This window comes from Homo sapiens, chromosome 7, assembly GCF_000001405.40.
Source record: "Homo sapiens chromosome 7, GRCh38.p14 Primary Assembly".
In the NCBI taxonomy this organism is placed as follows: Eukaryota; Metazoa; Chordata; class Mammalia; order Primates; family Hominidae; genus Homo; species Homo sapiens.
In genome coordinates this window covers 8616039-8642577 of record NC_000007.14, presented here as the reverse complement: position 1 = coordinate 8642577, position 26539 = coordinate 8616039, and the positions used below count along the sequence as shown (strand labels likewise).

The following is a 26539-nucleotide window of genomic DNA, read 5'->3' as shown; positions in this document are numbered from 1 at the left end:
CAACATTAAAAAGATAAAGTATTTTTTATATATTTTTGGTAACCAATTTTAAAAATTAATAAATCTCAGAGGGAACTGCTTAAGCACCCTCATCCTCAAAAAATCTGCCAAATGAAGGAAAACATGCCCATCTAAGGGATATCATTTGAATTAAGAATACCTGTGATTTAAAAAGAAAGTCTTAAAAGCTTTGAGAGAGAACAAAAGAGGCCACCTACAAAATATTCGAAATGATAATGGCATCAGACCTTTTTACAGCAACATTGGAATCTGTAAGACAACAGAGCAATGTCTTTAAAATCACTAGAGAAAAATGATTTCCAATTTGAACATTATACTCAGTTTAACTATCAACCAAGTATGATGCAAGAATAAGGATACTTTCAGTCCTGCAAAGTACCCGTAAAAAGGATCTTCAAAACACCCTTTTTAAGGAAGCTAATTGGGTGGTTCAACATATAGAAATAGCCCAGGAAAATAAATTCCAGTGAACAGAAGTAAAAGGAATTCCCAAAATGATGGTGAAGGAAAGCCCAAGGATGACACTTCCATAGTAACATCGAGAGCAGAATGGAATAGGAAGGTGCAGGGCTCCAGGAATGTCTCCAAAGGGGAAGAAATGAAGCTTATAGGTAAACTCCCTGGCATTTGATTTTATTGTAGAAGTTTCACACATTCATTGAGTGAAGAGGATAATTAGTGATATATTCACAGAAAACTAAGCTAAGAAAAATTAGGCAATTATTAACTCAAATAAGGACAAAAAGGTTGTATAAGAATGAAAACTAAATTATAGTATATAACTCATGAAAAATATGGACATAATCAAAATAGTGTGCCTGAATAAAATGAGATGTAACTATTATAGAAACTATTATAGAAAGAGGAGTGGTGGAAATTCTCATCCCTCAAGGTGGGAAGTAAATACCATAAGCAATGGCTAATGAAATTTTTAAAAAAGAAAAAGGAAACCAACAAAGCATATTTAGAAACAGATACACATAGCTGAAGAGACTGCTAAAAATGTTGAAAATTGTTGTCTCTGGGGGTGGGAATTGGAGTGGAGTAGTGTTGTTGCAGTGTTAGGCTGATAAATGTTTAAAATTTGCTCTCCAGGAAAAAAAAAAGTTCAGATTTATAGCACATGCCAATTTCTGTAGTAGAAATACTCCCACCATGGCCAATTTAAAAATAACAATTTGTCATCCCTGAACACAGAGTTGGGAAGAGATCCACACAAGCTTGCTCCCGCACACCAGGGTTTTCAATCCAAGGAGAACTCTTTTTTATTATTTAATATTAAACTGTGCACAGGTATTACTTTGAAAATTAATAAACAAATACTTGGTAGGGATGATAGCTTAAAATTAACAATAAAAATGTCCCCATTCTTAAAAATTATAAAATACTTAGGAATAAATGTTATTGAAAGTGTTAAAGATCAATATCAAGAATATGATAAAACTTAACTAAATAAATATTTTTAAAGACAAGAAAACTTTGTTCTTACATGGAAGTCTGTGCAATTAAAATGCTACAGCTTCACAAACTTTTAGTTAATTGAAACTTCAGCCTAATATAAATAACACTTTTTAAATTTTTATTTAATTTTATTTATTTATATTAGAGACAGTCTTGCTCTGTTGCTCTGGCTGGAGTGCAGTGGTGTGATGACAGCTCACTGCAGCCTTGAACTCCCAGACTCAAGAGATCCAACAGCCCCAGCCCCATGAGTCATTGGGATTACAGGCTCGCCACCACCCTGGCTAATATTTTTACTTTTTGTAGTCATGAGGTCTCCCTATGTTGTCCAGGCTAGTTTCAAACTCCTGGACTCATAGCAGTCCTCCTGCCTTGACCTCCCAAAGTGCTAACATTACAGGTGTGGCTACCATGCCCAACCAGGATTTCTGATAGAACTTCATAAGCTAATTTTAAATTTTATCTAAAAGAATAAGAATTATGAGACCATCACATAAAAAATAATGAGTGAGCACTTTCTATATATTAAAACACACAATAAAGCCAATTCATTTTAAGATTATGTTACTTATTTAAAGACAAGTAAAGAAGTACAGGATACAGAAATGTATGACTAGATCAAAGAAAGCAAGCAAAATGAATTTAAAACTATATATATATTTAATACTTAATAAATATAATATTCAAATCAGTGGTGAAAAAAATGGAGTACTCAAAAATTACATGAGGACCCTGAATATTCTTACAGAGAAAACATTAATGGAATTATTAATTCTGATTTCCACCCCATATAATATTTTAAAAGTCAATTTTGTATAAATCACTAAACATTTTTTAAAACTTTAGAAGCATTTAAAATACAGATTTCTCTTTGAATTTGAAATCTTCGTAAGTTAGATATGAAGCCCAAAGGCCTTACAGAAAAAGATGTACACTGACATAAATAGTAATAATTCCTATGGAGTAAAACAACCAAAAATTAAAAGGCAGGTAGTGGATGGGAATATGGATTTGCAATATACATTATGAATTAAAATATGTATAGAGTTCCTATAAATCAATAAGAAAAACACAAATAATTGAGTAGAAAAGTTGTCAAACTATAAGATCAACCAATTAACAGAAGCTAGGTTTATTAGTTCGTTTTCATGCTGCTAATAACAACATACCTGAAACTGAGAACAAAAAGACGTTTAATTGGTCTTACAGTTTCACATGACTAGGCAGGCCTCAGAATCATGGTGAAGGCGAAAGGCACTTCTTACATGGCCGGGGCAAAAGAAAAATGAGGAAGAAGTGAAAGTGGAAACCCCTGATAAACCCATCAGATCTCATGAGAACTTATTCACAATCATGAGAACAGCATGGGAAAGATGGACCCCCATGATTCAACCACCTCCCCCTGGGTCCCTCCCACAATACGTGGGAATTCTGGGAGATACAATTCAAGTTAAGATTTGGGTGGGGGACACAGCCAAACCATATCACTAGGTAAGTAGCCAATAACTTATAAAAAGATGCTCAGCCTCACTAATAATTAAGAAAATGTCAATGAAAATAACAAGGTACAACTTTTCAGCCAACAAATCGGCAAAAATTTGAAAGTATATAGAGAAACAGCCTTTTTTTTTTCTTTTACACCGATGGTAGCTATGTAAATAAGTACTCTTTTAGAGGACAATGTGGCTGTATCTATCTAAAGTAAATGTTCATGCCTTTTGTTTGTAGTGTCTGGAATCAAGATGTGAAAATCTGTTTGACTACACATTCTCTGGAGAATTCCTTGTATCTCCATTTGCCCATATAGAGGCAGCTATCAGACTATTTTTTTTCCAAATTAAAATAGTTCTAGACAGATCTGAAGTTTGATAATGTGGTATTAGGAAGGTCAGAAGTCTCAAAATACTAATTCTATTATTAGTTGGTTATTAAAGATTTCCTTATTAGTTTATATGATTTTTTAGTAATTCTGTTATCAATTTTATTTGGCACTGACAGAAAAACAAGTTGATAGCTACCAGTAATCGACTGCTTGCCCTATGCCAAAAACTAAGCACTTTTTATACATTTCATTTCATAGTTTCAATATATGTTTCATTAAATGTTATTATCTTCAGCTTGGAGTTGAGGAAACTGAGGGTTGGAGAGGTCAAGGAACTTAAACCTCTCAATAGTCAAAGAGTAAGTGAAGTAGGTAATTCAAGCCAAGGTCTAGCTGTCCCCAAAGATCGTAACCACTATGTTGTGATTGTAAAATACGAGCAGTAAAGTGCAGTGGGTAAAAAATAATGCAGCCAAGATGGGTTATATTACAAATTATTATACAGAATTAACTATAGGATCCATTGTTAAAATCATACTATTGAAACATTAAACACAATAATCATTCACCAAATTAATATGCACAGCACTGCATGGACAAAGAAAAGAATTTTTGAATTCCTTGCTCTTCTCTCTCCCTCTTAAAAGCCCCTCTAAGTGTTTGTTATCTAACTAAAAACACAACTACTTATGAAAAATACAACAATCAATCCTTAAATAAGGCATTCCTTCGTTCTCACCATTCTCTTTCTTTAAAGCTTTCTACTGTGGATTACAACTTTTTAATATAATATCTTACACAATTCCTTGGTTTACTGGTATATTTGAATGAGAATAGCACTAGCTGTGGTAATATGCAAACTTCAAGAGGTTTCCTGGCACCAGGAGGATTCTAATTCTCCCCAGTGGTTGTTGGCCCGCAGTGAATGGGAGCATCTACGGGCTGGTGGTCCCTCTGCTTTTTCTGATATGCCCAAAACAATGAGCTGAGCAGTGCCAATTCAGGTTCCTAGCTGTCGGATGTGGTTGCCGAGGTGTTTGTTCGCTTTTATTAGTCCATTGTAGATGTTGGCTCTTCTCCCAGACTTTCTGCTTTGTTTTCCTAGCTCGTGTTTGTTTGGACCATCTGCTTTAGTAGATCAGCATTCTCCTCTCCAGGTTCTTCATCTCTGTCGCTACAAGCTGGAGTTTTTTCTGTTCAAAGTAATGGCCACCTGCACCACATCCATTTTTATATTCAATTCTCCAATTTTCTTTAGCTGACTTTTTATTTTTGGAGGAGTTTGTTTTATTTAATTTGATAGTCTAGACTTGGATTCCTATTCCAGGTATGGGCTCAGCTTATTCAGTGCATGTTTTTAAAAACCAGGAGCACATTTAAAATAAATTTCTTTGATTTGCTTTAAATCGTATCACCAAAGTCCTTCTTATTAATATATTTACCCAGTTGAATAAGTTATTTATTTCCTGACTTAAACCACTTATGTAAGAAAAATATCAATCTCTGTGTAAACAACAAATTCAATGAAGCTGAAGAGCATGTATTGTATTGTGAGTTCATTGCACAAATTAATAAAGGCCAAAGTAGCTCAAAGCCTAAAATTTATTTCTGAATCAAAACAAAAATCTAAACACAGCATCTAAAAATAAAAAGGAGCTGTTAGTGTGGCCAATTAGATCATGTAAAAGCAGGTTAATCAGGGACAGCCCAGCCTCACTGACCAGAACAGGAAATAAGAGTCAGTCTCTTGGCCAGGTGCGGTAGCTGACACCTGTAATCCCCAGCGCTTTGGGAGGCTGACGGAGTGGATTGCTTGAGCCCAGGAATTCAAGACCAGCCTGGGCAACATACTGAAACCCCATCTCTAAAAAATACTTTTTTAAATTAGCCAGGCATGGTGGCACGAGCCTGTGGTCCCAGCTACTGAAGAAGCTGGTGTAGGAGAATCACTTGTGCCCAGGAGGTCGAGGCTACAGTGAGCCATGATTGCACCACTGAACTCCAGTCTGGTTTAAAAAGCCAGGCCCTCTCTCTCAAAAAAAAAAAAAGAGTCAGTCCCAGCAGTGAGCAAGATGAGAAATATGAAGTGTAAGGGACATTCAAATGTTTACAGTTGTACAAAAGACAAAGGTCCTGCCATTTTCTTGATTTAAGTGTAAAGGCTGACCACATGTCTATAGGCAGTACCATGATTCTGCTCCCAGGAAGAAAAAGGACAAAATGTACACAAAAGGATTTTTGTACCATGCACAGGGCTCTCAAGGAGATGAAGCTAGGCTGCTTAAAGTAGGTTATGGTCATAAATATCAAAGCAATGTCCCTAGATCTAGAACTGGAAGACCAAGCAAGCAAAGCTGGCCTGTTACTGAACCTTCAATTATTGCTCAGATTTGAACATTTCACTAGTTAAAGAAATCCAATACAAATCTTCATATTCATTTGGAAGTAAGAATCCCAAATTAACAGAATATGAATGATGTAGCTCAGAAACCCAAACAGGTAATTTGTAGGACTATACAAACCTGATGTTGAAGATTAAGCCAGACGTGGAATACGTGTGTAACGTATGTCATCATTTGCCTTCCCATGCCCATGGCAAAATCAAATCAATCACAGCATGCTTTCCTACTGACTGCATCCTCATGATTCCCCTTAGCTTGCATGGGATGCCATACTCACTAAATGACTGGAATTGGCATTCCACTGGAATTGAATCAATTTGCTATCCTTGGTTTGCCCTTTCCTTTTTAATCCTTTGCTAAGTTCTCACAGAAAGTTTTAAAGGCACATCATTATGGGCTGTAGGCATGTGCTGCTAGTTCTTTTACCTATTAATATGGGGAGAAAGTGGCTTGAAAATACAAGAGGCATTACTGGAAATTCTGCTGACTGATGAACACTTTTGCAGGCCAAAATGTATTTTTCAGATCTTAGCTGGAAGACAGTTCTACAGATAAATTTCTTTAAATATGCCCACGGTGCCCTGAGTTAAACTTTTGTTTAAAAAGAACACAGAGACAAACACAGGGAACTTTCACTTACATTTACTCAAATATCCCAGAGGGCTGTTGCTGGAGTTTGGCTATTGAGTGAAAGAGTCTCCTGAGTATGTAAGCACAAACACAATCCTTTTCAGGGTATAAATGAAGCTGGGCACAATTAGGCGGAAAACGATATCTTTAAAGGAAAAAGAAAGTCTATGCAGGCTGCAGTCCAACTTCAATAAAAATAAAAGAGAGAAAGAAAAACTTTACCCTTGGATAGATAAAGTGACCTTCAGTGGGTGTAGTGAAAGACATTACCTTTAAGCATCATATTTCCTGGATTCTTTCTCTCTCTCAAAGAACAGCACTTTTTTTCTATAAATAGGAGGTACAATTAGTACACATTTAAAAACCCTACCAGTTAGCTGAAACAAATGGGCAAACTATCCAAGTGTATATATTCTAAATTCAGTTGGACCAAACTTTTTTAATTGTCAAAAAAAGAAAAAAAGCTGTTTCATCTTTCCATTGGTTAAAGACGTAAATGCTTCCAAGAAACAATTCAGTAGAATAAAATACGATTTCTATAGGGGGTTGATCTGTTATTACATTTCTTTTTAAATATTTCAAATGCTTTTAGACCCGGTGTCATCACAGTCACTCTCCAACGTTCTGGCAGGTAATTGAGTGATGGTTCTCTATCTAACATATCTATCTTGATGCATCTTTATTTTCTTTTTTCTATACCCATAACATTGCCCTTAAGATTTAGCAGTGGTCTTGATAATGGAGGAAATACCAGAAACCAATCACTAAGATCTTGCAGAATTTAATAAAATAATTCAAAGGGTGCCCAAGAGATTGAATGCATTTATACCACTAAAAAGAGAAAGGTAGGAAAAGAAACTTGAAAGAAACTCTGAAGTTCTTTTGAGTTCAATAGCTGTCTAACCAAATAGAATGTGATGTGAGATTTTAGGGCAAAAGGCAACAAAGACTGCTGTGTGTTAGTTCTTAAAGAATTGTGCCTTCAGCCTGCTAATAGCTGTCATTCTCATAACCTTTGAAGAATTATGCACAGTACTTGGGCTCCAAGCTTACCTCTACCTCGGTGACATAGCATTTTTTTCCACTTGCAAATCTTATTCAGCACTTTAGGTTGCCTCTAGAAAAATGGCCTACGGGTTGACAACTTCAGACAGGTAAGATCTCTAGTCTGCTTTTGACAAATGTGATTAGAGATAGCTATTGTTCAAAACTCCCAGTATTATAGCTACATCATCAAATGTTGTTTGCACTTCCAGTAATATGTCAATGGTGAGAAGCAAAAGAGTCATTTCTACACACAGCAGAAAGTTATACAGAAATTATTATTCAAGTACTTTAAAAGTGTCTTGTGAAGGAGTTGAAACATCTGAATTCTGGAGTTCTCAATACTTATTCTTGGGGAAATTATCAGAGATTTGGGGCAGAGAGGAGTTCTTTACATCTGCATGCTTTCCTATTAAGTAAGAAGATAGATATAAACCCTATCATTTCCTGGGCCATTTCCATCTCAAAGCAAATCACATGGTGAAGTGAGGCTGCTCTTTGGAAAAAAAAAAAAAAAAAAAAAAAAAAAAAACTCTTCTGGACAATCTCTACCATGCAGATAACTGCAGAAGAAAGAACTCACTCCAAAGAATTTTATACCTCTTGCTTTGTAAGTTAATGCAAATCTGGCCATATCATAGGCCTGAAACACTCAGATGAGTATGATAGCAAAACAAAACAAACCTTATCATTATCCAGGTGTATTAGTCTATTTTCACACTGCTTTGAAGAAATACCCAAGACTAGGTAATTTACAAAGTAAAAGACTTAATTTACAAAGTAAATTAAATTTACTAAGTAAAAATGGACTCCCAGTTCCACATGGCTGGGGAGACCTCACAATCATGGTGGAAGGTGAAGGAGGAGCATAGGCACCTCTTACATGGCTGCAGGCAAGAGAACATGTGCAGGGGAACCGCCCTTTATGAAACCATCAGTTCTCATGAGATATTCACTATCATGAGAACAGCATGGGAAAACCCGCCCCCATGATTCAATTACGTACCACCGGGTCTCTCCCATGATACGTGGGGATTATGGGAGCTACAGTTCAAGATGAGATTTGAGTGGGGACACAGCTAAACGACATCACCAGGAAATGAAAAAATAAATAGAAATTGTCATGAGACAGATTCGATTTCAGCCTCACATCAGACTCAACTTTCAAACAATCAGAATTACCCTATAATGGAATAAATGACCCCATAATAGGAAGAAATCTCTATTTACAGATGCTCTTAAGCAAAGGTGTTTTCATAAATAAGGAAACTGGCCCAGCATATAACCTGGACTTCAAATTCTTAAGCAAATACTTCACACAAAAAATTGAAAAATATTTAACTTTACTACAACTGACAAGAACCTTCCTTCCGCAGACCTCAGTTTTGTCATCCACAAAAAGAGGGTTCAACTCAAGAGAGACTGTCAAACATGCATTGTTGTCAGCTCATGCAAGGTTCAGCTTGATGAACCATGGGCTGTATAAAAATTACGAATTCTTTTTTCAGGTCTTCTGGGTAATTGGCAATTATTTTTTGCAAATTGTTAAACGTTACTAAACATCCTGTTGAGTGGTTTGTTAAGTGTTTCTAAAGTTTGGGTTTTATAAATGAATGTTAGAAGATCATTAGAGCTTACTGAGGCTGAAATTCAGTATTCTACTGAGAAATTCGGTTGTCACGCAACACTGTAGTACAATGTGTGTGCGCTTTCACATCCGCATAATTCTAAAGAAGGAAACTCTATTGTGAGATCATCAACAAGGATGTCTTTTTTGAGATGGACTCTCGCTCTGTCTCTAGGCTACAGTGGCACGATCTTGGCTCACTGCAATCTCCGCCTCCTGGGTTCAAGTGATTCCCCTGCCTCAGCCTCCTGAGTAGCTGGGATTACAGGCGCATGCCACCACATCCGGCTTTTTGTATTTTTAGTAGACACAGTGTTTCACCATGTTAGCCAGGATGGCCTCCATCTCCTGACCTCGTAATCCACCTGCCTCATCCTCCCAAAGTGACGGGATTACAGGCGTGAGCCACCATGCCCGGCCTGTTACTTTTATTTTAATGATACATTATGGTTGTATTAACTTCATTATTAATTGATTTTATGTGAGTTTGGTTGCATGTAGAAGCACATGGATGCATCACTGATAATATTTGTAAAATTTCATGAAGTAGTTTCCCACATTCTCAACACATGAATTAATTACAATTTGAAAAAGAATCATCCATACTCTTGTGGCTGAAGTGATGTAATAATGCACAGAGCAGTAAATAATCTGCCCCAAAAATATATTTGTCATGTTTCCTTTTCACTAGGTACTTGATTATTAGAATGCTCATCTAAGTAGACTGTGGTTCAATAAAATTCTAGAAAGATATATTCAAAATCTTCTAACAAACTACAATATTTCTAGGGGCCTTAGAAGCCCTACTTTACAATTACAGCTCTACACCACGGAAATTCTCATGGGAGGGGAAATTTGAGAGTAAGTTAAGGCAACAGTATATTAACTTACAAGGAGAAAGCTAGCCACACAGCTGCCATCTTTGAGGAGAATGCTTTCTAATTCAGAAGAATCATAAGGCGATAAGAACAGATTCCATGCTCCAGTCACTGTGCCAGTTGCTGCATTTGGGAAATAGACAAGACTAGCCGCTAAGCATATAAGTGAGAAAAATCAAAGGATAACCCTTAAAGTGACTGATTTCCCACTCACCACTGCCAAGCAACCCTCGAAGTAGTCAGAAATGAGGCTACCAGAGAAAAAGAGCCAAAGACATAAAGTTATACATCTACTTGAATGTAAACAGGTAAGCAATGGAATCAAGAATGCCAATATAGAAGTAAATTGCAATCAACGTATAAAATATTGATAGAAAACTACTGCTGGAAAAGCCATGAGATGTTTTAAATCTTCAATCTTGCTTCAAGCTAAAATTAGTTGGTTAGTCATCATAAGATTTTCTTAATTCAATATATTTATTTTAAATAAATTAATTGGAGGAAGAAAATTTTAATTATTAGTAAACACTCAGCCCCTGGAGAGAAAAGGAAGTATATGGCAATTTTCAAGTTACCACAGCCATCTGATGGACGCTCCCTGAATGGCAGACATAAGGTCTCAAAGCTGAACTTACAGGAATCTCTAAATCTTTATCAATATTTTAGCTATCTCAGGCACAGTAAAGAATACCCTATAACCTACACATGAATAATGGTGTCCTCCTTCAGACCAGAAAACTGAGGACATTTATTATTACAAAAATGTAATACTCATCTTGATCAAATACATTTGAAATAAAATAAAGACACATGGAAATTGGAATTATAGTTTTTAGTGCTGTGTCCTAACAACACTTCTAAGGTATAACTTGCTTCTAATAAGAGAATGTTAGAAATTAAAGAATAGAATAGAATTAAATGGATTGACACCTGGAATATCCAATAATCCATGGCTTTCTGGATGTTGACCACAGCACCTGCAAGTGCTATCAACATTGTGGTGACCGAAAACTGTTAAAATCCTTTAAGTGGTCATTTCGTGGACATACTAAGAATAAAACAAATCAACAAAGCTGTCAAAAATAAAAGTTGAAAAGTGCTAATCCTATTATTAGCACCATACTAGAAAAAAAAACCTTATAGATGCTGGATATTAGACCTTTGTTGGATGCATAGTTTACAAAAAATTTCCCCCATTCTGAAGGTTATCTGTTTACTCTGCTGATAGTTTATTTTGCTGTGCAGCTCTTTAGTTTAATTAGATTCCATTTGTCAATTTTTGATTTTGTTGCCATTGCTTTTGGCATCTTCATCATGAAATCTTTCCCGATCCCTATGTCCTGAATGGTATTGCCTAGGATGTCTTCCAGGTTTTTACAGCTTGGGATTTTACATTTAAGTCTTTAATCCATCTTGAGTTAATTTTCATTCTATTATAAAGACGCATGCACATGTATGTTTATTACAGCACTATTCATGATAACAAAACTATGGAATTAACCTAAATGCCCATCAATGATAGACTGGATAAAGAAAATGTGGTACATATAAACCATAGAATACTATGCAGCCATAAAAGAAGAATGAGGTCATGTCCTTTGCAGGGACATACATGGCACTAGAGGCCATTATCCTTAGCAAACTAACACAGGAACAGAAAACCAAATACCACATGTTCTCACTTATAAGTGGGAACTAGATGATGAGAACACATGAACACATAGAGGGGAACAACACATACTGAGGCCTTTCAGAGGGTGGAGGGTGAAAGGAGGGAGAGGATCAGGAAAAATAACTGATGGGTACTAGGCTTAATGCCTGGTGATGAAATATCCTGTACAACAAACTCCCATGACACAAGTTTATTTATTTAACAAACCTGAACTTATACCCCTGAACTTAAAGGTTAAAAGTTAAAAAAGGAGAAAAAACCCAGCATTTGTAATTTCAAACAATAAAGTGAAGTCAAATTATGCATAATCTTCAATAGTTTGACTTTGGCTCAGTAGTATCAAAGGCAACAAGAGAACTGAAAAACTCAAGACATAAAAGTTCAGTAGTTTTAATTACATTGGGCATGTTTCTTTTCCTCGTAAAATGACAACTTAGAATGTTGAATGATGGATTTTATTACGTATATGCTTGTAGAACATTTTTATAAATGTTATGCCAACTGTCTTTAGTTCTGTTTGCATTACTTCCTCAAAATCTTTGCTGTTGTTTTCCTTTGGTCAGCATGGGGAGCACTGGTGGGAATGTATTGCAACTTGGGAGCTCCCATGAGGAAGCATTGCACCTGAAACAATATCCAATCCTGGACATAAAATGTATCATTAAATATCTTGAGAATAGTGAGACATTATAAAACACTGTACAGTTTTAATTCTTCAATTAGTTTTTCAGTATTGGATTGAATTAAATTCAATAATAATTTAATTATTATATCTTAGAACATGTCTTAGTAGGAAAAACTTTCCAGGTGAAGTCTCTTAATGAAGCACAGGACCCAGAACTAGAATGTCACCCTCTGATGGCATCTATTATCATAGTATTATGTCAACGTGATGCGTCTGAACAACCATCAGTATGCCTTACAACAGAAGTTATTCTGGCAAAATTAATAGTATGCTTTTTTCTTAAGACCCAAGGGTGAAATGTGGGGGAGTAAAATGTTCACCAATCCACCCATCTTGGCCTCTTTAGCACAGTACAACCAAATCAAGAGATATATGAACTTAAAGCTATATATAAGCTATTCAGGCCAAGAATATCTAATTCTCACAGAGGCAAAAGGTTGTAGGACCTAAATTATCTATAGTAGCTGCTTGAGCTGATAAAAGCACCAGGCAATTTCTAAACTCCCCACTTTACTTTGTGCAGCTACAACTGTGTTTTAAAAAGTCCCACACAAGGCTTTAAAGTGACTCATTTGTAATATACTGCAGATGGTACTTCCATTTATTATTGGGCGTTGCTCTGCACTGTATTATAACTTCAGCGTTTGGACAGCAATCAAAGCATTTTTCACCCAGTGGCCTCTACTTTACAGACAATACTATGGAGTTATTTCCTACCAATATAAAGAGCAATTTTAGTAATCTCGATGACTTATATACATAACAGCTTGTAATATTAACACACCAAACTTAAAATCAGTTTGCATTATTTTTAACTAGCTATGAAAACCTGCCCAAAGATTTTAAATGAAATATCTCCCCCAACTGCATGTAAGTCATTATAAGCCTCCTATCAGAAAGCATTCATTATGGCTCCCACCAATTCACTTTTCTTAGTAGTTACAAATTGTCTATAATTTCCAACAGTTGGTCTCAGCTCAAAAATAAACTTTTTCACAGCTAAACTAACCCATTTTCAATGTCCATCCACCATAATTTTCAAAACTCTTCACTATAAAAACTGGAAAGTTTTGGGTACAAAGGGAATGCTTAAAAAACAAATGTTCCTAATATTTGTGTTTACATATTGGATTTTTTACAAATACCTGGTTTAAATTATTTCTGTGACCATAAAATTTTATAACAATGGGGGTAAATAATCTATCTTAATATCAATCATTTTCATAATGGAACAGTATTTCAGAAATGGAATCTTTTGTATTCGAAAATTTGTTTTTATTCATTTCTTATCTTTCTCCTTCTTTCCAAAAACAGCACAAAGCTATTAGAAGAATTTACTAGATTTATCTTAAATTTTGCCAAGATCTAGAATGCCTGTGGCCTTGACCAATCTCATTAGCCTAATGATAGTGAGATACATGAGGCTTTCGTCATCTCAACCCCATACGGGGTCTGGCTTCAAGGGAAAATGCAGCTTTCATAAAATAACCTCGGACGAGAACAACTGCACCACCGTCTGTTCAAACATACGCGTCAAATCTCTGCTAAATTTACACATTCTACTTCCAAGCTTTGCTTCTTCATTTATCCAGAAAACATTCATTTATATTTATTTTCTTTCAAATACATCAGGCTTTTTGTATACCACTCAAGAACATTGTTGAATCTTCCTGAAGATAATCTCTGCATTGATTATAGTACATGAAAAGAATCATTTCTTTCATACCCCCCAGTTCTTTTTTTTTTATACATACACAAAAAGGGCTGGCTTAATTTAGAGAAAATGAGAGTTCTAGTTTAACTTGTAATTTTTCTTATCCTATCACCAGAAACTACATTCTTGTCCCTGACTTTCCTCTTAAATGTTTGATTGTTGTTGGGTTTGGGTTTTTGGTTTAGTTTGGTTTTTGCTTTTTTGTTTGTGATGACTCTTCTAACCATACATTATCTAAAAAAAAAAAAAAACACCTATGCATAAAATGTTCTAATGTTTCCTACTTGGCTGAATCAGAAAGAATCAATTACTGTGTAGAATTTCACTGAAACTTCGAAGATAGATAACATCAAACTCTGTAACATGTTAGTGACGTTTTTTCTTTGCACTTTTTCATTTCTCTTCACTGTGAAAATCTTTTGAGGAAATAGTATGTAGTTACTAAGTAATCCACATATTCTCTATTTTCCCTTTACATTTATTTTGCTTTGATTCAGGAAAAAATATATATCTGTTATGTTTTAAAATAATACTAACTTCTGAACACTCTAATGATTCTAGTTGTCATGATCTCTCATTTTGACTTTGGCAATTATTCTCATACGTACCCAAGATAACCTGCCCAGTCTAGACATCACTTCTTCCTTGTCCTTCTCTTTTTGTAATATACTTTATGCCCATATAGTGCCTTTTATCCACAGATCTCAAAGTGCTTCTTTTTTTCTAATATGCCTTTATATTCTCTAGAGAACCAAAGAGGCTTTTTTTATTGTACCTCTGGCTTTCTTTTATGGATGAAATCTGGTCTGGTTGCTAAGAAGCATGGATTTGAATACACTCTCTAGCAGCTTCTACCCTTCTGCTTTTAAAATGGTTATTTTTTTTAATCCATTGAAGTGCAATTTGACTATCATTTTTTAAAATCTCCTTTTAAAAGTCAAAATGCAACTCTCTGGAAACCAATGAATCTCATTGCCACGGTATGGTAGGTTCTCCTGCTTCATGATCTATAATCATTTCTTCAGTGTCAGTAATAAAATGCTTCAGTAACCTCTCCCAGCCCCTTGGCATTCTGCCTACTAGTGTCAGGCCTTTCTCCCCCTGCGATCCTACTACTCAAAGAGCCAAGAGTGATGGTGCTGCTGCCATGGCAACTTAGAATATTGAAGGCTTGGAAGTCTTTTCTTTGTTTTATATGAGATATTAACTGAAGAACATTGCATATTTAAGAGGCTTATTTCATTACCTATTTCCCCTGAGTTCTTTTCTCCTCCCATATAGACTTGCCTATCTATATATGGCCTTAATTTCTAGACTAACAAGTAGTTTTTTATTCTGCCTCATTTACCGAATGAGCATTCCCTTGTTACCTTGCCCGAGGTCATGCATGAGTTCCCAGGTATGTAAATAATAGTTGCTGGACATCAAATATACATAAAAATGGCCACTAATCTGAATCTTTTTCTTCTTCCAAGTAGGCCAATTCACTTAAATGTATATTAGCCATTTACTGTGTGCCAAGCACTGGGCTGGGTATTGGAATGATCTGCAGAATATCATTGTCTAATTAATATAATAGACATAAACAGAAATATAAACAAGGTGGGGGCATAAAGTCAGAGGCGTTCACAGGATATTCAAAGAACACCCAGAGAGGCTCTTTGTCCTTATGCTTAAAGGAATGAGGATGTCAGGAAAAAGACCCTGGTAAAGAGGGAGTCTGAGCAGAGGTGTATAGGAAGAATAGAAGGTAAGTAGGCAGAGTGCCCAGAAAAAGTGTCCCAAGAATAAGAGAAGCATGGATAATGGCTTGCAGGTGATAAACACCACATCGCATGGGAGAAATTACTACTTTACTGTTATTAAGGCATAAAATCAGAGTGAAATATGCCTTAAAAATAGTAGAAGACATTATCAAGGACCAGATCCTGAAGGGCCATATGCAACATGTTGAATGTGCAAAATGGACAATTAAAGAACACTTTGATTTCATATGACCTGACTTCAGTGTAATATTAGCACAAAGTACTAGCAAAGTGTGCTAATGAATCCTATCTCTTATCAGTCATTGTAAGGAGTAATTTAAAAGAAAAAAAATGAAAATTCAAGTGCTTGGAAAGGAGTCCCTCATGGCAGTGAGAAAGTAATGGAATCCAAGGTGGGTGGCAAGCTACCCTCAGCAGAAAGTTAGATCTGGAGTAAGGTAAGTATTTGAAGTTGCCAAAAAAAAAAAAAAAGTAAACTGCATGACAATGAGTATATCCCACTGACACATCAGAATTATAGTCCATGAGGTTCAACAAAGTTGCAGTTTGGAATAGACTAAGGCCCAAAGATGCATAATTTATGATGTATATCCAACCATGCTTCATTACACTCAATATGAGGTCACTACCAGCACTTTCCTTATTAAAATGTTCTTTTTTTTTTCAGAATTGACTTTCCTCATCAGGTTAAATACATCCTTTGTTTGCCAGTGAAGTCCACGTGCTTAAGGAGAAAGAGGTCCCTTAGAAGAAATGCAGAAAGAATGGGTCTTCCCAACATATGAGAAAAAATAACATCTTGTATTTCCTATAGTCCTCAACCAACAAACAAAAAAGTAGTTACCATATATCACAGATTAGATAAAAGATTCACAGACAAAAAGATTATATAACTAATTGAAGGTCATAGAGAAAATCAGCTTTCTCAAGATCAGAGCCCAGTCCTCTGACTCATTGTTTGAAACTTCCCATTATGCCATTTATCTAATGGAAGGCTGTGGGGTTAATCTACAATTACACTTTGCCAAAATCCTTTCCAAAAATCTTTAGCTTGACATTGATCTAGGATAACAGATGATGCCTGAATCATAAGGAGGATTTCAGACTCTTTATCTCTTTGTGTGATAACAAAGATCTGAAAGCTTTGTTAAGAAAACTGGTGATGAGCCAGTTTCTGAACAAACCTCTGGTAAAAGTTCTGAGAAATAGGGACCCATAGAGTTAAAAGGAGCTGGTAGATTTCTAATGGAACACTATCCTCTTCAGAAGACCTCTAATTGTATATTTTATAGTCTACTTGAGACTGTGTTCCACAGCATTTCTTTTAGTCACTGAGAGCTTTGGCAGGGGTTAATTGACCAGGAAAAGCATTCATCATTCCAGGTTTGTCATTTAAGCAGAATGGTATCATCTGCACAATCCCTTTCTGCATATTTGGAACTAATAGGATGTAGAAAAGTTTATAATGGAGTAAAGTTTCAGAATTTGAGTTGATCTTCCCCCTAACTTCCTACCAGAAATTGCCAATGCATAGCAACATAATATATCATCTCCTCAGTTCTTTAAAATAATCTTTGAAATTGGAAATAAAAAATTACAGTATTATTTTACTATTCAGTCAAGTTACATTTTGCTTATGTCAAAATGCTATATGGATGTATCTATTGACCATTCCAATAATTTCATTGTAAATCAGTGAGGTTGCCAAAAAAAGAATAGGATAATTCTATTTCTACATAGGGACTCTATAGTCAAAGCAACTGTGACACATAGGAAGCTGAAAATGACACTACAATATGGATTGGGACAGTCTTCTCTAAATATATATTTTAAAACAGCTGAAGGGCCAGTGGAATGTGAGTGCTTTAAGAAATGTTGGACATCACTTAGCCTACCCCACTTTTTTAGGGAAATAGACAACTGAAGCCCAGGGAAGGCAGTTATAGAGTTAAGAGTCATGACTTGAATCCAGGTCTTCCTATCCCCAAACTGCACTGAGGAGCCCTCTACTACTCAGCTTCCCCACTTTCTCGTGCTGGCTTTTGCTTCCACAATGAACCATTGCAACAGCCTCCACCAAACCTTTAGTCTGAGTTTAAAATAACCTCTCAACTCCTAATCCCAAATGCCTTTCATTCACTCTGCAATTGTCTTTACTGTTCTCTTTATCTTTACTTTAATGACCCTCACTCTTTTGTACAACTCCATTCATTCATTCATTCAAAAAGATGCATGGTGTGTTCACCATGGGCTGTGTGCTCCCTCCACTTCTCCACATGACACTATCTTTTCCCTTCTGGTTTGGCCTGCTTTGTCTGCTTTGCTCTCCTCACTTTTTCTTTCCACCACCTAAATATGGGCATTTCTTAGGGTTTTTCTCAGTTTTCCTTTTGCACACTTCTTTACTCATAATTTTCATCCAATTTCATGATTTCGACTGCCATCTGCTGTGTCTGACTATGGAATTGGCATCTCTAGCTCTGATCTTCTCAGAGTCTGGACAACCTTCCTCCAACAAGGTTCAATTGGAAAGCTCATATTCACTGGAAACAAAACCCATCTGAAAACAAGTACATTCTCTCCCTCAAACTTACTTTCTCTAAAGACATTCCTGCCCTTATTCAAAATGTGGCCACAGCCAATCAGTAAGGCCTTAATGCCAAAACTCATACCTAAGAGGCTCCTCTGATGCTTTGGGTTAAAAAACTCACCCTGTGCTACCAATTATCACTGCACATCTGCTCCTCCTTTCCACTCACACTGCTTCTCCTTTAGGCTCCAAGTCCTGACCTATTTATCCCCCTTCCCTCTAGCTCAATTATTATTATAAAAATCTTGAACACACCAAAAAATTATAAGAATAGCACGTTGCTCATCTGTACATCCATAAACTAGATTCAAAAATTTTTTAACATTATGTCACATATACTTCTTCTAGATCCATATCTGGATCTAGCTACATATACAGAGATAGGGATGGGGTGACTATGAGTATGGGTCTGAGTATGAATGTAGATATAAATACATACAAAGCCATAGAAAAGGTTTACATGTAAATATAGATACAGATAGAATACAAATAAAAATACACATATGCATATACATATATTTTGCAGAAAAAAATTGACAATAAAAGGCACATATGAGACTTCTCAGTATATATCTCTTAAAAATAAGAACTTTTTCTTACTATACCACAAAATTATTATCAAAACTAAAAATTGACAGTTCATTAATATTACCTAAAATCCAGTCTATATTCAAATCTCTCTGCTAGTCCCCCAGCTTTTGGTTTTTTGTTTGTTAACTATGATTCGATCACAGTTTACAAGTTGTGTTTGTAGTTAATTACTCTGTTTCTTTTATCTTTTTAATTTTTCTCTCAAGTATTTAGTTTTCATGACAGTTTACTTTGTGTTACAGAATGTCAGATAAATTAAATTTGTCTGATTGTTTACTTGAAATGCCATTTATCTATTTATTCTTCCCCCTTTAACTTGTGGGGACCTGACCTGTTCCAATCACTTTGTAGTTTGTGTTAGTTATTTCATCCAATTTCCCCAGTATTTTCTATAACAAATGAACCTTTGTCTCTACTCTTCTCCTGTTTTAATTCGTCTCCCAGAGTCTTCCCTGTCTCCACTCCTCTGCACCTGCAGAGCCCTGCACTGCAATCCCTCCTGCATCATTAAATTCAGGCCTCTTAGTTTTTCTTTAAGACTTCCTCAAGCTGGCCCTGACCCACTTCTGTGATTTTACCCTGTATTTAAATATTGGTTCTGGACAAACTGCTCCCTGGAGCACACCACATACTTCCTTACCACTCTGCTTTTGCTCTTTCTGATTTCTCCAAGTCCTCCCCTCAAGGAGTAGTTCAAATACTTCCTTCATTAATAACAATAAATTTCATGTTAACATTTCCCAAGACCACTCCAGCAGCTACAAATATTTTCTTCCTCTGCACTCATAGTCCTTAATATTCCTATGATATATTAGTTATGTCCCACCTCAAAATATTCATTTAATCGTTTCTCAGAGATTACTCGCACTTGTACTGTATAGGTTTTCGCCTTGTCCTCAACCATATTTTCTATTCCATTAGTGTAGCGTTTGCACAAAGTTCTTTTTACATTAGCATATACTTTTACCTAATAAATTGGTATTCAATAAATATTTGTTATCCTGACTTGTTGACAAATCATAGAATAACCAGACAAATGGAAAATTCAAACTTTCAGTTTGAATGAGACTTAACTTTGTCAAATTATCCCTCGTATTTGATAATTACTTAGGCTTTTCACACTCACTAGTAGTAAACACAAATGCCAAGTCTCATTTGTTACTCTATGGCCACTTAAGGTCTAATGTAACTCCAATACATATAAAATGCCAAGTTTCATATGTACTTTTTGGCCACTTATAGACTAATGTAGTTGGGAAAGAACTAGACTTATAATTGAAGGACCTGAATTCAAGTCACAGCTCTGCTCACACTAATTATATGCCCTTGTATAAGCTACTTAAATACTTTTGATCGCAGTCTTATTGTCTATACAAAGGGAATAACAACATCCTCATTCACAATCTGTTGGGGAAAAATGAAATAATAATGCAAATACTTTAATTCAATCCCTAGAAGTTGTGATGTTCTTAATAATTATTACTTCAATCTAATTTATGAGATTTCACTCCCTTGCTTTAAGTGTAGAATAAATAACAATGAATTTCATGGTAAAATAGAGGCTTTCTAAATGCCTGAAATCTAGTAATTCTAAGAATTTGCTAGTAGTAACTCCGAATATTAAACTTGCCAAAAATACCAATACTCACCGAAATGTGCAGAGGACCATTATAAACTTACATGACATGTGCAAAGTGACTGCTCTGTTCATCTTAGACAGATGGAATTTCATGGCCAGAGCAACTGCACGGTCTTCAGAGGCAGACTGTCCTTGGTTCATTCTGCCTCATCCACTTACAGGGTTGGTTGGTAGGTACAATAATACCTACCTGAAAGTTATTATTATTAAGTGAGATAATGCATGTGAAGTTTTAACCTAATGTCATGTATGTAGTAAGTGCTCAATAAAGAGTTGAATCCCAGCACCTTGGGAGGCCAAGGCAGGTGGATCACCTGAGGTCAGGAGTTTGAGACTAGCCTTGTCAACATGGTGAAACCCTGTCTCTACTAAAATACAAAAATTAGCCGGCGTGGTGCCAGACGCCTGTAATCCCAGCTACTCGGGAGGCTGAGGCAAGAGAATCGCTTGAACCCAGGAGGTGGAGGTTGCAGTGAGCCAAGATCGTGCCATCACACTCCAGCCTGGGCAACAAGAGTGAAACTTCACCTCAAAAAAAAAAAAAAGAGTGGCTAGCATGTTATTGTTTCTCAATACCAATCTTAAGCAAAGAGCTTTGTCCCAAAGTTCTTCTCAAAAGTCAAAGATGGAAATTTCCAAGCTATCCTGTTGCTCACCCTAACTCCTCTGCTGCAACCCATCTTGTTGAGTCACTACCTTCCTCAAACACCATTCTTTCCTGTCTGAGTCTTTGTCTGTGCTATGCTGCAGCTCCTGGACAGACTTCTTCCTGGTCACCTGCCCAAATCCTAAAGATTTGACTCCAGTTCTCTCTTTCATGGTGACTATCACTTTTGAATCTATGGCACCTTGTCCTCTTTTGACCTACTCCAGTGACACTCACATCAGATTTAGTTATATACATTAATTAAATTTAATTTTCTTTCCATTATAACATGTTTTTTCTACCAACTAAATTATAAATTTTTTGACAGCAAAGATGATGTCTTCTTCCCCAGCCTACCTCAGTGTCATAACAATAATTATTTGATGAATTAATATAGGCAACTGACTATGACAAAAACACCTTTAGATTGTGTGAAAGTTTATAGAGAGAGCGTTTTTATTCATAGGTTATGAATTACCTTTTCAAAGGGAGAAGAAAAACATACAACCTGGAAGAGATCAGATCAAATTGGAACATCCATTTCTAAATCGTCCTTGTCCCCATGAGGCCTTTAAAGTGACAAATTAGAATTTTTAACCATTTATGAAAGAATACAGATGATTTTTAGTGACGGTAACTTCATCTAATCATTTTAAGGAAAGGAGAAATGTATTGGTTCGTATAATTCTAAAGCGTAGAATTAGCTTCAGCTTTTTTGTCAGCTTGACATCAAATGGTATCAGCGGGGCTCAGTTTCTCTCTCAGATCTCCTTAATTCCAGCATTGGCTTCAATCTTAAGCTACATGAGGAGTCAGGCTGGTGGCAGCAGCCTCAGCCTGCATGCTTCCAGAGTCTGTTACAGAACAGTAGCAATATTCTTTTGCCCAAAAGTCACAGTCTCATGAGATCTGGTTGGCTCTGGGTGAATTCCATAATTCCCCTTGAACTAATCACCATGACAAGAAGAGGCAGCACAGAGGCTTACTGAGGCCCACATCTTTAACCTGGGTCAGAATTGTTGTCAGCTGGCTTCCTGGAACCACACAAACTGTCGGTAGGAAGGGGAGGTTCCTTGGAGGTAAATATATATGAGTATCAGAGGTGGATGAATGCAGACTGTGAAAACATTCCCAGGACTGTTAGGCACCTAGTAATCTTTCAATAAACTCACTGAGTGACTTAATCAGGTCTTTTTCCATTATATGTTAGAACTGTGCTTCTGTGTTTTTTCAATGTCGAGGTACACAGAAGATAATAGTAGTTCTGTGTTGCACTGAGGTGAGAAGGATCCTTGTGACTAGAGGTCAACGGCTACTCTGGCAGCTCTAAGTGCTGAGAGAGTCAGTATCTCAACACATTACAGCACAGCAGTACGTGGATGGAAAAACTCTGCTCATGAGCCAAGATCATATTTGGGAAAGGACACTTGGTTAACAGCCTTAAGTCTTGGATTTTAGATCCAGATTTACCACATACTTGTTGTAGGTAGTTGAGGAAGCAAGTCTCAATTTCTCTACATCTTTTCTTCCTTGTTGTAAAATAGAGATAATAATGCCTTCCTAGCACACCTCACAGAATTACTGAAAACATCATATGAAATAATGGTATTAGTATATTTTGTAAACTACAGAGTGTTATTACAAATGCAGAGAATTATTCCTTTTCTCTGGGACTCAGTTTCCCACTTAAAAAATACGCTGGAGAATAAGATAAGACATGATATCTGTAATACTTTCTCATACTGAATTTATAACTATTATTTTGCTTCATAGTTAAATAAATCCACAAGAGTCAGTGAGGTTGCTCAATGTAAATATAACTGACAGTACAGACACATGGGTAAAATGAGGTTAGCCAGGATATGCATACTTATAAAGGCTTAAATTATTGATCCCATTACTTTAAAGGATATCTGAAAGAGCATTGAACATCATTTGCTTAAGCAAACATAAACAAAATAAGACCTGGATTAACCAAAACTCTAGTAAAGAGTTGGCAATGGACACATAATTATAAGCTTCATCCCAGATGCAGCAACAAATGTTAACAAGAGAATAGAAGCAGACTGCAGAAGTTAACTGGAGGTAATAGAAGATTAGAGGCCAATCTGAACCAAGGAGATAAGACAGGGATTGCTGACTATTACAGAGGACCTAATTTCTTTCAAACACAAATCAGTGCCCCTTCAAAATGCACGCCACCTCAAAACTATGCCAGGAACACATGGCAAAAGCAGAAACGTTCGCCAAGGGTACCAGGGCAGACATAATCCTAAAATCAAGCTCAAGTTCTCAACTTCCTTCTTAGAGAGAGAAAATAGCACATTAATGTCACAGGAATTCACTGAAACCATCTCTTTTGTACATACTAAACTTTTCCTGCTTAAAAATAGTAACACACAAACTGAAAAGATTTCAATTTTATAATTTTCATCTTCTACCAGATTCTTGCCATGAAAAATGCAGCAGCAAAAGAGAAAAAAACTGGGTCCAGATAACTTCAATTGCAGCACACATAATTAGCATTCCTTGAATTCTGTAGAGTGTGTTTAGCATACATTCAAACAAATAAAATAAAAAAGAACACACATTCTCCAGTTCTTCTTATGCAGATTCAACATATAAAGATATTGGATTAAATATCTTGTATAATCTCAGAAGGCTCTCAAAATGAAAGAATGATGCAGTGATTACATTTCTAAGGAAACAATGCATTAGCAAAAGGGTAAATTCTGATTCCTTTTTTCCACCTCTTCTCCTAGTTTGCAAGTGAAATTTAAGCCTCAGGAATGTCTCATTGCCTGAAAGTTTGTGCTATAATGCAATACAGCTACTTTGTCCTCTTTCTGCCAATACAAGCACATAAAGAGTATGAAGGAAAAATGTATGTGAAAGTGCTTTGAGCTCTTATATACAAAGTTAATAAAATATTTAATTACCTTTACGCTCATTGGCTAAACATCCAAGATTTTCTTAGCACAGTGTTGATGCTCCCTAAAAGATGCATTCAATGGCTATTTTGATGAAGCCAGCTCTGAGAATTAGTGCCACAGATGTCAGCTGTATGAATACAGTCAGATGAATCAGTGGCATCAGATAATTGAGTGAAAATATCAAATTAAATGTTGTATTTCCTAACCTCCATGCTAATACCATAAAATAGATCCCAAAATGCCCAGATCATAAAGTACAAACATGAGTATCCATTCTACCCTTTTGGTTAGTGTTGTTAACATCAAAGAAAAGATGTAGGTTGGACAGAAATCATAATTCCTTATGGGCAGAAGAACCCTGCGGCGAGTGACACTCATCAGTTTAGTTACCCATGCCCCAAATCTGGAAGTTTTTTTAATTTACTTTTAAAAAATTTTTAACTTTTGTGGGTACATAATAGATGTATATATTTTGGGTTACATGAGATGTACCCACTTGCTTTTTAAAAACTTTAATTGTCGTGGGTACATAGGTGTATATATTTATGGGAGTACATGAGATATTTTAACACAAGCATGCAATGTGAAATAAGCATATCATTGAGAATGGGGTACCCATCCCCTCAAGCATTTATCCTTTAAATTACAAACAATCCCATTATACTCTTTAAGTTGTTTTAAAACGTACAATTACGTTATTATTGACTATAGTCACCCTGTTGTTCTATCAAATAGTAGGTTTTATTTGTTCTTTCTATTTTTTGTACCTCTGCTATGTTCCCCCAATCTCCCCACTATCTTTCCCAGCCTCTGATCCATTCTACTCTCTATGTCCACTAGTTCAATTGTTTTGATTTTTAGATCCCACAAATAAATGAGAACATGCAAGGTTTGTCTTTCTGTGCCTGGCTTATTTCACTTAATGTAACGATCTCCAGTTCCACCTGTGTTGTTGCATATGACTGGATCTCCTTCTTTTTTATGGCTGAATAGTACTCCATTGTATATATATATCACATTTTCTTTATTCATTCATCTGTTGATGGACACTTAGGTTGCATCCAAATCTTAGCTATTGTAAACAGTGATGCAACAAACATAGGAGTGCAAATATCTCTTTGATATACTGATTTCCTTTCTTTTATAGGAAATACCCACTTTCTCAACTCCCATGTCTACTCCAACAGCAAGTTCTGAGTTTGTACCTCATGAAGAGAGTTCTTGAGTTTACCTCTAAAACAAAGTTTCTCAATCTCAACACCATTGACATTGGGACTGGATAATTGGAGAGTGTTCTGCGCATTGTAGGATGGTTTCCAGCATCCCTGGCCTCTACTCAATAGATGCCAGTAGACATCCCCTTTCCCCCAACAATTGTAATGACAAAAAGTATTTCCAAACATTGTCAAATACTGCTCCAGTTGAGAACCACTGCTCTCAAACAATCCGCTCCTTTCTTATCCACTGAAGCCAGTGGCCCAAGCTGGCACCATCTCTTGGCACAACTACTATAACGAACTCCTAATTGATCTACTCACATTCACACTGTCCTCCCCTCAAATCTGATATCCATACTTCAGCCAGAGTGGTTTTTTTTTTTTTTAACATAAACTTGATCTGGTCCTTCAACCCCATCTCAACTTAAAATACTTCAGTAGCTTGTATTTGTTTTTAGGGGAAAATCTTTATAACTGTATGATCCAGTCTTTACCTACCTTTTTTGCCTCTAGTATTCCACACTTTTTTTTAGTTCACTGTGTTCAAAAGCAACAATGTCTTTCCCTCAGTCCCCCCTGGCTGCCATGCTTCTACCTGCCTTGGGGCCCTTACATATGCTTCGCTCTCTGTCCTAAATGCTCTTACCACCATGTCTCTTCTTCCTTAATTCATTCCTCAAATATTAAATGAGTTCCTAGTACCTTCAAGGCACTATACTTGGAGTTGGGATTTCAGCAGTAAACATAACCTCCTGATCCCATGATGTTTTTAACAAGTTGAGTCGAGATGACGAGGGAGAACAAAAAATAAACAAGTAAATTTATAAAATGTGGGATGGTGATAAATACAGCATAAGGGCAATGAGGAGTCCTGATAGAGACAGAGTTGCTATTTTCTATAGGGTCATCAGGGAAGAGCTCACTGATATGGTGAGGGGGTACCTGGGGAAAGTGTTTGGGCAGAGAACAAGATCAAAAGACTTCAAAATGAAGTTTACCTATATGTTCAAGGAACAGCAAGAACAGCAAGGAGGCCAGTGTGGTTGAACGTGACTGTGTAAGAAGAGAGTGAAAGATCATGAGGTCAGAAAGGTAGCAGGAGACCAATCACATAGGGGTCTATAAAACAAAATAAGAACTACGAGATTTATTCTGAGTGAGATGTAATGAAGTCATGATGAGAGGGATTTGAGCAGAGATC

General features: G+C 36.2%; 1 protein-coding gene and 1 long non-coding RNA gene across 4 annotated transcripts in view; one reads left to right on the top strand and one right to left on the bottom strand.

Annotated features, from left to right (window-relative positions):
- NXPH1 (neurexophilin 1) overlaps positions 1-26539 on the bottom strand; it is a 319353-nt gene that overhangs the window by 110384 nt on the left and 182430 nt on the right. The window lies entirely within an intron of this gene.
- The window catches only part of LOC105375144 (uncharacterized), a 67939-nt gene continuing 51514 nt past the window's right edge, over positions 10115-26539 (top strand). For 2 of the 3 annotated variants that reach the window (XR_001745084.2, XR_927017.4), the window contains exon 1: positions 15270-15355. This is a non-coding gene — a long non-coding RNA (uncharacterized LOC105375144). Of the gene's footprint in view, positions 10194-15269; positions 15356-26539 lie in introns of those variants that run through there. The other variant, XR_007060208.1, reaches the window with a different exon arrangement.